Raw genomic sequence first — 14,219 nt, 5'->3', positions numbered from 1 at the left:
AGATTAGGCAGAGATGAGAGATCAGATGACATGAGGGAAGGCAGATGGTGTGCTTGCGAGGGAGACACCTAGGAGGACATTTTTCTGTGTGGGAGAGCAGGCCTGGGGCATTCTGAGAATGCCAGGCACCAAGATAAGGATAGTGTCATGGTGGCAGGTTTGGGAAGGGGGAGATGATGTAGATGATACTGGTTGATAGGTCTGGAAGGAGAAATGGAAGTTTACAAATTGTTAAAGATAAATTTTAATATTAGATACCCAGGAAACATCCAGTTGGAAATTTGGGGCAGTAGAATATCTGAAATCAGAGCAAGGAATGTTTATTACATGAAGAACTGAAATAGATATCAAAGCTTTGAGTTTGGCTTTGACAGCATCATTGTCATTGTCATTATTACCATAATCATGAATACTGGTCATATTGACTGATAATTCAGGCAGGTAATTATGCCATCTACATATATTATTTAATTTAGTCATCTAACAATCCTATAATATAGAATTTTGAAGATGAAGGAAATGAAAGTTCAAAATTTTAGATATTTTACTCAGATAGTCATACTATTAATAATTCTATATGTCAAGATCTCATAAAATAGTTAAAATAAGAATAAATGTGTATAACTTTTCAACTGAAGTCGATCTTTGAGGAAATTGGATATCATCCATTGATCCAGATTTCCCAGAAGGCCTGAGATTCCATTATCTTTGTTCTAAGGATTTCTAATGTTATTCTCTGAACCCATGAACCAATTTGGACACCCAGCAGGTCTCAGAAACAAGCTTTCTATAAAACCAGTTAAAAATTAGAGACAGTTCTTTCCAAGTTGCCCATTTCCTGCTGCTTACCAAATCATGCAATTCCTTATCCTTTATAAAAATGCTTCATGTTGAGAAGAGTTCTTAACTTTGGAAATTTTGATATGAGAATTATGTTTCTTTACTAAAAATGCTGAAAAATGTTTATGAGATAAAAATCCACATGAGGCTCTAGTGCATATTAGGATAGGCAATATTTTCATTGCTGCCTCATAGTGTTATGAATATAAACAGAAAACTCTCAAATAAACTTGTATCTAAGAATAGAAAGGATGAATTAAACCTCCTCCTCTCCTCTAAAAAGGAGAGGTAAGGGAGGTCCAATCCAGAAAGGGAGAGGGAGGCAGGTAAAGAAGGAGAAGGGGAAATGGGGCAGAGAGGAGATAGAGGATGGATGGATGGATGGATGGATGGATGGATGGATGGATGGATGGATGGATAGATATGCAGTTTATTTATCATACGTATGTATATGTTTTAAAATTTAAAATAAGTCCCAAATTGGATTCATTCTTGATCAAAATTATATTTGACTTAGGATTTGTCAGTTTTGACTACTGGATAATGAGAAAAAATTACTGAGAATATGATATTGTAAAATGTTATTGGCACCAGCACTTTGAGAGAATAAAGCTTTAGATTAACCATTATACTTGTTTAAAGTTAAGAAATAAGATTGGGAAATGTTTACATATCAATTACCATAACAATTAAATTAAATTTATATTTACTTGCTATTTTATCATCATAATGTTTAGTTTTAAAATCCGTTTACTAAAAAAAGACAAAGAAATTTCCCATCATATTAAATGGTATGATGGAAATACTTCTATAGAATAATGATTTGTGATGCTAAGATTTATAAAGGTTTGTTTTAAAAACACATTTGTTAAGCACTTCTTTTTTGTAAAAAACTGTTTTGGTCCTGTGAAAGGAAAATGAAAACATGACATCTCAATGCACTACGCCAAAAGAATAAAATTAAGCTGAAAGCTGAGCCATGCAAGAAAGTGCCTTTCTTTTTGTTTCTAAGCAGATAGCTAGGTATAAAAGGCTAAATATCTCCACAGGTAGCTACTCTATGTTTACCTTATCTAATGTAAAGTGTTGATTTACTGAGCATCAGTTGAATATATAATTGACTAATCTCCTACCTGCTCCTTTTCTCTTGCAACATGAGGATTACCATACCCTCACTCTTTCCCCTCTAGCTCACTTTTTCCCTTTAAATACTTATACTCAAAATCATCTTTGAAGAAAGGTACAGACCTGTCTCCCAGGTGCATGTTTAACTTTGGCAAAATAAAATTCTAAGTTGATTGAGACCTGTCTCAGATACTTTTTGGTTTACAGATTGGTGACCAACAGAAATGAAGGTGACCCTGACCTTTGACAAATCTCTGATCAGTGATCTTATCTATATCAGCTTCAGCTATATTTGTTGCTTAAACCAATAGGACAATTTGCTGAGGCCTGGGAACTCCCTTCTCCAGTGAATCCCTGATCACGCAAAATTTGGTTAACAGCTAAGGTTTATTTTGCTGCACAGCTCCTTTTCTGGAGTTTTACTCGCATCCGATGAGAAAGGTGTGTGTACCTGCTTTCATGACGATAGAGAGCAGACAACTTCTTTCTGGAGTTTCAGCTTGCTTCCAACAGTGAAGGTGAGTTTGAGGTTTTTTGTTTTTTTTTCTCCTTCTAAAGTGGTAGAGAGCACTCCATTCCTAGGTAGGTAGCTGAATTGGAGTATTGTCTTGGAAATTCTCCTTAAAGACTAAAAGTTAAGACTAACAACCAGCTGGCTTTAATTTCTCCTTACAATTAGAGAGCTCAGTAATCATATAAATTGTGCAATTGGTTCTTTTGCTTAACTGTTTTTCGTTTGTTTCTTCTGTTGTTGTTTTTGTTATTTCAGTCTTCTTCCCCTTTGGTTTGACCAATGCTACCTGATTTGGCAAAATCTGAAGGAAACTTCTAAATTATGGGAAACAAGACCTCTGGATTGGCTAAATTCCTGAAGCTGAAAGAAAAGGAAGAAGAAAAACAAAAAGGCCAACAAAAGCAAAAAAAGAGTAATTTTTGACCCCCTGAGGGGCTTTATTTACCTAACAAGTCTACCTTTTGCTAGCCAAGCCAAACTGAAAAAGCAATGGCAGCCATCTAACCCATGCTGTAGTTCAGGAGCTACAATTCTGCCCTTTTTTCACCATGACAGCCTGAGTTTGTTTCCTAATCCAGTCATTTTCCGGTTTGATATTTGTGTTACTTTTGAAATATCAGCAGTTTGTCCCAACTAAAATATGTTAATAAGAAATTTTAAAGGATTTTTTAAGAGTTCCAGTGGTTAAAAGTCAGCTCAGTTTAAAGCAAATACCCAAGATGTATATACATTTAAAAGACCTTTGTCCCCTTTTTTCTCTCCTAGGATCTTGTTTTTTGAGAAAAAGTTTTTTTTTCCTCTTTCTTCTCAGTTGTCTGAATTCTGTTTTTTTCCATTTGCTTCTGACTGTCTCTCCCTCCTCTTGCCACACTCCGCTACATAAAGGACCTAACATAATTTCTAACAGCCTGGGATTCCTTAAAGAAATCAGAGAAGCCATCAGACTCCTTTTTGGGAGAAACCTCTGTTTTTCCTTATGGACTCCCCAAGAGTATAAACAAACAAATTCCTCTCAGATCTTAAACCACTTGCTTTTGTATTGTGTTACCTGTTTTTTTTTTTTCTTTTTTGACTGAAATAGTTATTGCTAGGGGGGCTACTCTTGTATGTTTAAGATGATAAAGGATATGGTTTAAACACTTAGAGAAATGTTGATAAAGAGTCAAACTCTAAAATATTTGAAGAGATTTATTCTGAGCCAAACATGAATGACCAATTGCCTGTGAAACATCCTCAGGAGATTCTGAGAACATGTGCCCATGGTAGTCAGGCTACAGCTTGGTTTTATACATTTTAGGGAGACACAAGACATCAATCAATACATGTAAGATGTACATTGATTCAGTCTGGAAAGTTGGAACAACTCAAAGTGGGGGCTTCCAGGTCATAGGTGGATTCAAAGATTTTCTTATTGGCAATTGATTGACACAATTTACCTAAAGTCCTCGGACCAATACAAGGAAATGTCTGTGTTAAGATAAGGGGTTGTGGAGACCAAGGCTCTTATAAGTAAATGAAGCACCCAGGTAGCAGACTTTAGAGAGAGTATATTATACATATTTCTTATCAGACTTATAAAGTGCCAGACTCTTAATTAATTCTCTCCTGGATCAGGAAAAAGACCTGGAAATGGAAAGGAATTCTCTACAGAATGTAGATTTTCTCTATAAGAGACAGCCTTGTAAGGCCATTTCAAAATATGCCAAAGAAATATATTTTGGGGTAAAATAGTTTAATTTATTTCAGGGTCTGCTGTCTGTCACGTTGGTACAAAGATTCTGTTTTGTCAGTCTTAAGGTTTCTGTTTTAACATTAATGCTGGTCAGCTGTGCCTGAATTCCAAAAGGAGGAAGGTAATAAGGAAGCATATCCAACCACCCATTCCCATCATGACCTGAACTAGTGTTTACTTTATAATGTGCTTGGCTGAGAGGAGTCCATTTAGTTGTTTGGGGAGGCTTAGAATTTTCTTTTGTGTGTTTTACAGAAATGTCTTTGTAACAAAATGCACTGTAAAATCATTTCATGACCTAGTTTCATGATATCTCTCTTTTTGGAGACCCAGGATTCAGTGTGGGCTCTACCTAGAGCTCAGAGGTGCAGTTAAAAGATAAAGACTAAATTTTAAACTACCTATCTAAATAAAATTGGTTTCCTTATAAAATCCTATGGTTGATTTATATAATTTTATGTTTGACTTGGCATCCATTTTTAATTTCCCTCTAGCACAGTGGGCTTTCTTCCTCTCTCTCTCTCTCTCTCTCTCTCTCTCTATATATATATATATATATATATCTGTCTCTCTCTCTCCCCACTTGGAAATGTAAATTTTACTGTCTGATTTTCACCTGAGTTGTTCCTTTAGTATGCAAATTTAGGGCTAACTGGCTGACAAGTTGCCTTGGGTAACGGTTATCAAGAAATTGGAAGTCAAAAATAGGAAGAAAAAGAGGTTTTATGAATTTATAAGATCTACTCTGTCTGCATGTCTAATATGTCTATGTATTTATGTATTGTGTGTATAATGTTTCACTTCCAAATATACATAAAAGAGCTTCATTAGAAAAATAAACATTTAAGCCCAAATGCTTTTTCAAGTTCACGTGACTCAAATAAATGCTTAATAAGTAAACTGGTTTTAAAATTATTGGTAAAATAAAATGAGAAATGTCTTCAGTATTGTCAACATACATTATTGTTTAGATTTATTGGTCAAGCAGCTCAATACTTATCTCTGACAGATATTATAAAGTGTCAAAATTTGGCATGAGAATTATAAAGCTTGCAGCCCGAAAGAGAATTAATTTGTGTTTTTTTTTTTTTTTTTAGAAATAAGGCATTTAATAGTTTTGTTTAATGAAAACACCTAAATCCTGAATTATTGGCCAAAAAGCCCAATATTTATTAAACCTTAAGATTTTTACTTCAATAAACACCTGAAATTCACAGGTTGTAAAATTGGTTAAGAGAAAAATAATGTTAAGTGATGACTACCACAGTTGTCTTAAATAATCTGTTAAAAATAAATTAATTGGGTAAATTTAATGAAATAAATGCTTATAAATTAACTTGTCATATAATTTAGAATCTAAAGTTATGTTGAATTAATTAATAGATATTTATTAAATGTCTCGGTCATTTCCAGTTTTTAAAAAAAATTGTTGGAAAATAGTTTTCTAAAAAAAATGTTTATTTAAAGCAAAATAGTTTTTGTCTAACTCAAAGGTTATTTCTGAAACAATAAATATGAGAGATGTAAAGAAAGTTATAGATATACAAAGGTATTTTTTGGTAAGAAAGAGTCAAAGGACAATAATTTAATATGAGAAAGAGTCTTGTATGGTAAATTTTCTGTCCTAAAATATAATGACCAGGTATTTAAGAAGGAGGGATATTTAGGATAAAACAGGAAGTTCAAGCATGCTGTAAATGGTTTGTGTAAGCTGTAAACACTTTATAAAAAGAGAATTCATGATTAAAAAACTTGATATGATCAAGTTGGTTGTAATTACAAGGAAATAATAACACTTTTTAGAGACTGGGCTTTGATATGAAAAAACACTAGTACACTAAAAACTTGGTTAGAACAAAAAAATTTTCTGAAGTGTTGATTTCTTCTTAATATAATTACAAGATATTTTAATTTTTTTTTTACTGCCAAATTCAACTTTTATTGCATCTTACTATTTTTAACTTTCTCTCTTCTTTGAGAAGGCCTTAGATAACTCTCTCCTGCAACTTTCTCATTAGCTCCCATAATTGTTTTCCCTTCAGTTTCTAAATGCTGTTGTAGCCTGATGCTAAAATGAGTTTCTTAAATGTATAGAGGACATGTTTTCATCCAACATAACATTCCGTGCTCTTGGCTTTTCTTAATATGTCTAAATTGTTCTATAAATCTGAAAACTTTCACTTATAACCCAGGACACACTCTTCCTATGTCTAACTAATTCAGCTACCATTTTCATTAGTTTGACTTACAGGTTTTCTAAATGGAGTCCACATAGGGAAAAGCAATCACACTGTGGAACGTCTTTTTTTTTTCCTTTTGGTAACTGGCCTAACAGATTTTACATTTTATTTATTGAAATAATTCCTATGTCATTGTTACTAACATCTTGATTTGCTTAGGAGGAACTGAAATTTGGCTGGGCACAGTGGCTCATGCCTACAATCCCAGCACTTTTGGAGGTCAAGACAGGTTGATCACTTCAACCCAGGAGTTTGAGACCACCCTGGAAAACATGGTGAGATGCCTGTCTTTAGAAAAAATACAAAAATTGGTTTGATGGGTGGCATGTGACTGTCATGCCAGCTACTTGGGAAGCTGTGGTGAGAGGATTGCTTGATCCAAGAAGGCTGGAAGCTTCAGTGAAGCAAGATTGCACCACTGCACACCAGCCAGGGCAAAAGAGTGAGACTCTGTCTAAAAAAAAAAAAAAAAGAAAGAAAAGTTAAGTACATCCATGTAACTTTTTATGTATTGCTTCTAAAGTCTTTGTGCTATTAAGTTACACGGCTTTGATTCCTGGGTCTATAAAGAACAGCAAATACTGCTAAATCTTAAACACTGACCACAGTTAAAGCCTCATTTTCAGACCCAGGAGAAGATGACAAACAAAATAAACAAGTTCTTGAGACACAGGGTCAGAAATTAAAACTATTCAACCACTCTAAGCCCAGGAACTACCATGAAGAGTTGGGCATGTGAGATTGTAAGTGCTGAATTTGAGAGAGAATATTAATTCAGAGTCTTTCTCTAAAGAAAATATTAATATCAAAGGCACATTGATGCAACCCCAGCATCTTGGCCCCTGTGTCAGATTAACAAGGTTTCCTTGGAGCATTAACCTACTTTTTAATTTAAGAAAAAAATAAAAGGTTATAAAAAAGGCTTATCAAAACTATGTCTAATGGTCAAGATGATTAAAATTTAATAGATTTGTTATAAACAAAGATTTGAGAGACAGATTTAATTGGCCTCCTGCTGTCTTTATTAAGACTTGTTGTTTGAGATATTAAGTCTCCTCTCTCATAGAATAAATGTTTTTTTTTCCCTTTTTAAAGAAATCGTTATCACTTTGGCTAAATTATTTGCTTATTTTACAAGGACCTGTGGTTCTATTTTGTGATATCAAGTAACTTTTGATATTTGACACTTTAAAATCATATTCAAAATTTTTGATCTCATTTTTTTTTATATTAAGTCTCCAGAAGTTCAGAAGACACATATTCAGCTTATTTGCTATAATAAAATCATGCAGGAAGGATTGCAAAATATGAAATGGTGTTTAACCTTCTTTGGATTATAACATTTATATAAACGTGTGACTAGTATATGATCCAAAATTATATGAGAGTTCTGTGATTCTGATATGTATTTGCATATGTCATCAGTAATAATTATGATATTACATAAAATTGTTGTATTTCATAGAAGTAACCAAATTTCCTTATGAACTGTTTCTTCATTCGTGGCTTTTCTAAGACTTTTGTCATCCATAATTGTTGTTTAACTTTGATAATTTTTTTTTTTTTTGAGATGGAGTCTTACTCTGTCGCCCAGGCTGGAGTGCAGTGGCACGATCTTGGCTCACTGCAACTTCTGCCGCCCGGGTTCAAATGATTCTCATGCCTCAGCCTCCTGAGTTGCTGGGATTATAGGTGCCTGCCACCGCACCTGGCTAATTTTTGTAGTTTTAGTAGAGACGAGGTTTCACCATCTTGGTCAAGCTGCTCTTGAACTCCTGACCTCGTGATCCACTCACCTCGGCCTCCCAAAGTGCTGGGATTACAGGCATAAGCCACCATGCCGGACCAACATTGATACTTTAATAGGGCAGTTTATAATCAGCTATGGAACTCTGAGGCACACTTGTAAATACAAGTTTCTGATAACTTTAGAGATTGTACCATTGGAATGGAGAGAAAAACTTCCAGGACTTTCATAGACAGCTGAAGTATTCATAAGGATTATTAATTAAATATCAAGCAGAACAGGAGTTAATTGCATGAACTGAACTAATGGAAGGTTGAAATAATGTTTTACGACTTTTTACTTAAAACATTTGATGATTCTTTTTGTTTTATTTTTCAGACACACAAAAAACTTTATGTTCTTTTAAGCTATTTATAGCTCTTAACAATTTAGTAAAATATATTCTTAGGAGCAAAATTTAAAACATAATTCCTTTCTCTCAACCTAATTTCTCTAAAATTTGGAAGCTATTTTGTGAGTATTATTAATTTATGACAATATAGTGATTTGCAAAAGTTCAGTAAGAATCTGTTTTCTTTTATAACAGAGCATAGTTGGAGACACTGGTTATTTTACCAAGGCTTTGACTGGAATAACATATTTTCACATGTCCTTGAGAAAATGGGGCTGACCTATAGAGCTGATGAAAGCTCCTTAGAAAACCTGGCCCCATACCTTGTCCTTTACAGGGTTCTGACCTGTGGTAAGTAAAGAATGTCAGTTTCTGACACACTCAGGAACCCCAGGTTTTCTTGAGACCTTAAAAAGAGAGAAATTAACCCAATTCACACAGAAAGGCACAGAGAAATTCACTTCAGGCACAGAGAAATCTTTGTCTGGGCTTGAGGCTTTTAAAAAGATGTAGTTTTAGACACCTTATGAAATATGTTCCAGTAAAGCCAATTAAAAAAAAACAGTGAGCTTATATGACAAATGATTATTCTTGCTGCACTTTATGCAAAGAATCAAGCCAAGAATGATAGTACTAAAACTTATTTTACAAATAAATTGATCCTTCTATGATTTTGTCTTTAATAAAAATGGGCAATTGGACAGAGAGAAATCAGGTTTCAAAATAAACTATAGTACAGCTGTTATTAGATTCCAGCTTTGTCTAATTCTTTTCAATTATTATTATTTTCTACAATTAGATTCTAGCCTTGCCTAATTCTTTTCAATTTTTACTATTGTCTACCATTTGGACAAATTCAGTCCAAAATAATGTTTTCAATGTTTTTCCTTTTTTTCTTTTCCTTTTCTCCCCACTTTTCCTGATTTGAAAACATGAAAAATTAAGTTCTGCTATTCTTAAAGCCCTGTGAACTGAAGCTAACAACTTAAACTTCAGAAGACAATAACAGCATCCCATTTATATACACAAACCACTTTCATACCTACCTACTGATGTGTAGACTTCAGGGTAATATGACCTATTTCAGTTTTCCAGGCTTGTTCTTCCCTCTTTTTTTGTTTTGTTTTGTTTTGTTTTGTTTGTGTGTTGTTTTATTTCTCTCTTGTTCCCACTATATTTTCCTCATGGGACATGAGACTCCACAACCTGCTAAAAATGAGCTTTCCTAACAATGTGGGACCTATCTGTCTAGGAATAAACAATCCCAACCATGAGTCATCAGACAAAACCTGAGACCAGAGACTCAATTTCTTCTAAAATGCTTTCTCTTAAAGATTTTTTTAAATTGTGGGAGAAATGTGAAAGGAAAATAAAAACTCAGGACCCCAATTATCTATGCCCAAAGAATAAAATTAAGCTGAAAGCTGAGTCATGCAAGAAACTGCCTTTCCTTTTGTTCCTAAGCAGAGAGCTAGATATAAAAGGTTAAATATCTCCACAGGCAGCTACTCTGTGCTCACTTTATCTTATGTAAAGTGCTGATTTACTCAGCTCCAGATGAATAGATAATTGACTATTCCCCTGCCTGCTCATTTTCTCCTGCAACATGTGGATTGCCATACCCTCCATTTTTCCCCTCCAGCCCACTTTTCCCCTATAAATATTTAAGCCCTCAAAAACATCTTTGGAGAAAGGCACAGACCTCTCTCCCAGGTACATCCTTAACCTTAGCAAAATAAACTTCAAAATTGATTTGAGACCTATCTCAGACACTTTCTCGTTTACATTTCCTTTTGTAAACCATGTTTATTGTAGGAAGTTTATTTTTCTCACCAAACTGTTCTAAGTAACCCACTGATTTTGATCTCACACATCTAATACATACAGTTAGTTAAAAACACACAGAGATTCACCTATTACTGGAGGACTGAAAAATTTGCTAAGAAGAAGAAAATTTTCTTTTTAGCATTTCCCTAAGGTCTATAAATTAACTTATTTTTAATGAGTCTACATGGTATACAAATAGGTTTATGGTCAAACAGATGAGTTTCAATTCTAGATCTTCCATACCATGTGTAACTTTGAGTAAGGTACTTATTTTTCAGAGCTTCAGTTTTATCATTTGTATAAAAATAAAAATAAAAGGATAGCACAAGTAATATAAAAGATAAAAAAGTAAAACTGGACAAACCAATTTTAGAATAACAACTAGTACATGTAAATGAAACATATCTATTGAATAAAATGAATGAGTAAACATGATTAACATTATTCTTGTCAGGCCTCTGAGCCCAAGCCAAGCCATCGCACCTCCTGTGACGTGCACATATACGCCCACATGGCCTGAAGTAACTGAAAAATCACAAAAGAAGTGAATATGCCCTGACCCGCCTTAACTGATGACATCCCACCACAAAAGAAGTGAAAATGGCCGGTCCTTGCCTTAAGTGATGACATTACCTTGTGAAAGTCCTTTTCCTGGCTCATCCTGGCTCAAAAACCTCCCCCACTGAGCACCTTGCGACCCCCACTCCTGCCCGCCAGAGAACAAACCCCCTTTGACTGTAATTTTCCTTTACCTACCCAAATCTTATAAAACAGCCCCACCCCTATCTCCCTTCACTGAATCTCTTTTCAGACTCAGCCTGCCTGCACCCAGGTGAAATAAACAGCCATGTTGCTCACACAAAGCCTGTTTGGTGGTCTCTTCACATGGACGCGCATGAAATTTGGTGCCGTGACTCGGATCGGGGGACCTCCCTTGGGACATGAATCCCCTGTCCTCCTGCTCTTTGCTCCATGAGAAAGATCCACCTATGACCTCAGGTCCTCAGACCAACCAGCCCAAAAAACATCTCACCAATTTCAAATCCAGTAAGCAACCTCTTTTTACTCTCTTCTCCAACCTCCCTCACTATCCCTCAGCCTCTTTCTCCTTTCAATCTTGGTGCTACACTTCAATCTCTCCCTTCTCTTAATTTCAATTCCTTTCATTTTCTGGTAGAGACAAAGGAGACATGTTTTATCCGTGGACCCAAAACTCCAGTGCCGGTCACGGTCTGGGAAGGCAGCCTTCCCTTGGTGTTGAATCATTGCAGGGACGCCCCTCTGATTATTCACCCACGTTTCAGAGGTGTCAGGCCATGCTGGGATGCCTGCCTTGGTCCTTCACCCTTAGCGGCAAGTCCCGCTTTCCTGGGGGAGGGGCAAGTACCCCAACCCCTTCTCTCCGTGTCTCTACCCCTTCTCCACCTTTCTGGGGGGCAAGAAACCCCCAACTCCTTCTCCTTCACTCTTAGCGACAAGTCTCGCTTTTCTAGGGGAGGGGCAAGTACCCCAACCTTGTATCTCTGCACCCAGATCCCTTATTTCCGTGTCCCGACCTCTTATATCTCCGTGCCCCGATCCATTATTTCTGCGCCCCAGCCTCTTATATCTCTGCAACCTGATCCCTTATTTCCATGCCCTGACCTCATATCTCTGTGCCCCAACCCCTTTCCTGCTTTTCTGGAGGGTAAGAACCCCTGAACCACTTCCCTCCGTGTCTCTACTCACCCTTTTCTTTAAACTTGCCTCCTTCGCTATGGGCAACCTTCCACCCTCCATTCCTCCTTCTTCTCCCTTAGCCTGTGTTCTCAAAAACTTAAAACCTCTTCAACTCACACCTGACCTAAAACCTAAATGCCTTATTTTCTTCTGCAATTCTGCTTGATCCCAATACAAACTCGACAGTAGTTCCAAATAGCCAGAAAATGGCATTTTCAATTTTTCCATCCTGCAAGATCTAAATAATTCTTGTCATAAAATAGGCAAACAGTCTGAGGTGCCTGACGTCCAGGCATTCTTTTACACATCGGTCCCTTCCTAGTCTCTGTGCCCAATGCAACTCATCCCAAATCTTCCTTCTTTCCCTCCCGCCTGTCCCCTCAGTCCCAACCCCAAGCGTCGCTGAGTCTTTCTAATCTTCCTTTTCTACAGACCCATCTGACCTCTCCCCTCCTCGCCAGGCCGAGCTAGGTCCCAATTCTTCCTCAGCCTCTGCTCCTCCACCCTATAATCCTTTTATCACCTCCCCTCCTCACACCCAGTCCAGCTTACAGTTTCATTCCGTGACTTAGCCCTCCCCCACCTGCCCAGCAATTTACTCTTAAAAAGGTGGCTGGAGCTAAAGGCATAGTCAAGGTTAGTGCTCCTTTTTCTTTATCCCAAATCAGATAGCGTTTACGCTCTTTTTCATTAAATATAAAAATCCAGCCCAGTTCATGGCTCATTTGGCAGCAACCCTGAGATGCTTTACAGCCCGAGACCCTAAAAGGTCAAAAGGCCGTCTTATTCTCAATATACATTTTATTACCCAATCTGCTCCCAACATTAAATAAAACTCCAAAAATTAAATTCCGGCCCTCAAACCCCACAACAGGATTTAATTAACCTCACCTTCAAGGTGTACAGTAATAGAAAAAAGTTGCAATTCCTTGCCTCCACTGTAAGACAAACCCCAGGCACATCTCCAGCACACAAGAACTTCCAAACGCCTGAACTGCAGTGGCCAGGCATTCCTCCAGAACCTCCTCCCCCAGGAGCTTGCTACAAGTGCCAGAAATCTGGCCACTGGGCCAAGGAATGCCCACAGCCCGGGATTCCTCCTAAGCTGTGTCCCATCTGTGCGGGACCCCACTGGAAATTGGACTGTTCAACTCACTTGGCAACCACTCCCAGAGCCCCTGTAACTCTGGCCCAAGGCTGACTGACTCCTTCCCAGATCTTCTCCGCTTAGCAGCTGAAGACTGACACTGTCCAATCACCTCAGAAGCCTACAGGACCATCACAGACACTCTAGGTAACTCTCACAGTGGAGGGTAAGTCTGTCCCCTTCTTAATCAATACGGAGACTACCCACTCCACATTACCTTCTTTTCAAGGGCCTGTTTCCCTTGCCTCCATAACTCTTGTGGGTATTGACGGCCAGGCTTCTAAACCTCTTAAAACTCCCCCACTCTAGTGCCAACTGAGACAATACTCTTTTAAGCACTCCTTTTTAGTTATCCCCACCTGCCCAGTTCCCTTGTTAGGCTGAGACACTTTAACTAAATTATGTGCTTCCCTGACTATTCCTGGACTACAGCTACATCTCATTGCCGCCCTTCTTCCCAGTCCGAAGCCTCCTTTGCGACCTCCTCTTGTATCCCCCCACCCTAAACCCACAAGTATAAGATACCTCTACTCCCTTCTTGGTGACTGATCATGCACCCCTTACCATCTCATTAAAACCTAATCACCCTTACCCCGCTCAATGCCAAGATCCCATCTCACAGCACGCTTTAAAAGGATTAAAGCCTGTTATCACTCGCCTGCTACAGCATGGCCTTTTAAAGCCTATAAACTCTCCTTACAATTCCCCCATTTTACCTGTCCTAGAACCAGACAAGACTTACAGGTTAGTTCAGGATCTGCGCCTTATCAACCAAATTGTTTTGCCTATCCACCCCGTGGTGCCAAACCCATATACTCTCATATCCTCATTACCTCCCTCCACAATCCATTATTCTGTTCTAGATCTCAAACATGCTTTCTTTGCTATTCCTTTGCACCCTTCATCCCATCCCAGCCTCTCTTCACTTTCACTTGGA

The 14,219-nt window shown here is 37.3% G+C and overlaps 1 annotated feature.

Annotated features, from left to right (window-relative positions):
* Positions 10,818-11,397: an enhancer, noted in NCBI's record as "NANOG hESC enhancer chr4:156034857-156035436 (GRCh37/hg19 assembly coordinates)". NCBI's record gives its function as "activates a minimal SCP1, AML or CMV promoter by ChIP-STARR-seq in naive H9 embryonic stem cells {active_cell/tissue: H9 hESC(naive)}" and the evidence as "EXISTENCE:reporter gene assay evidence [ECO:0000049][PMID:30033119]".

The sequence above is a fragment of the Homo sapiens genome, chromosome 4, assembly GCF_000001405.40.
Source record: "Homo sapiens chromosome 4, GRCh38.p14 Primary Assembly".
Lineage (NCBI taxonomy): Eukaryota > Metazoa > Chordata > Mammalia > Primates > Hominidae > Homo > Homo sapiens.
Note: the sequence above shows the minus strand (reverse complement) of the source record. Positions and strands in the feature narration are given on the sequence as shown.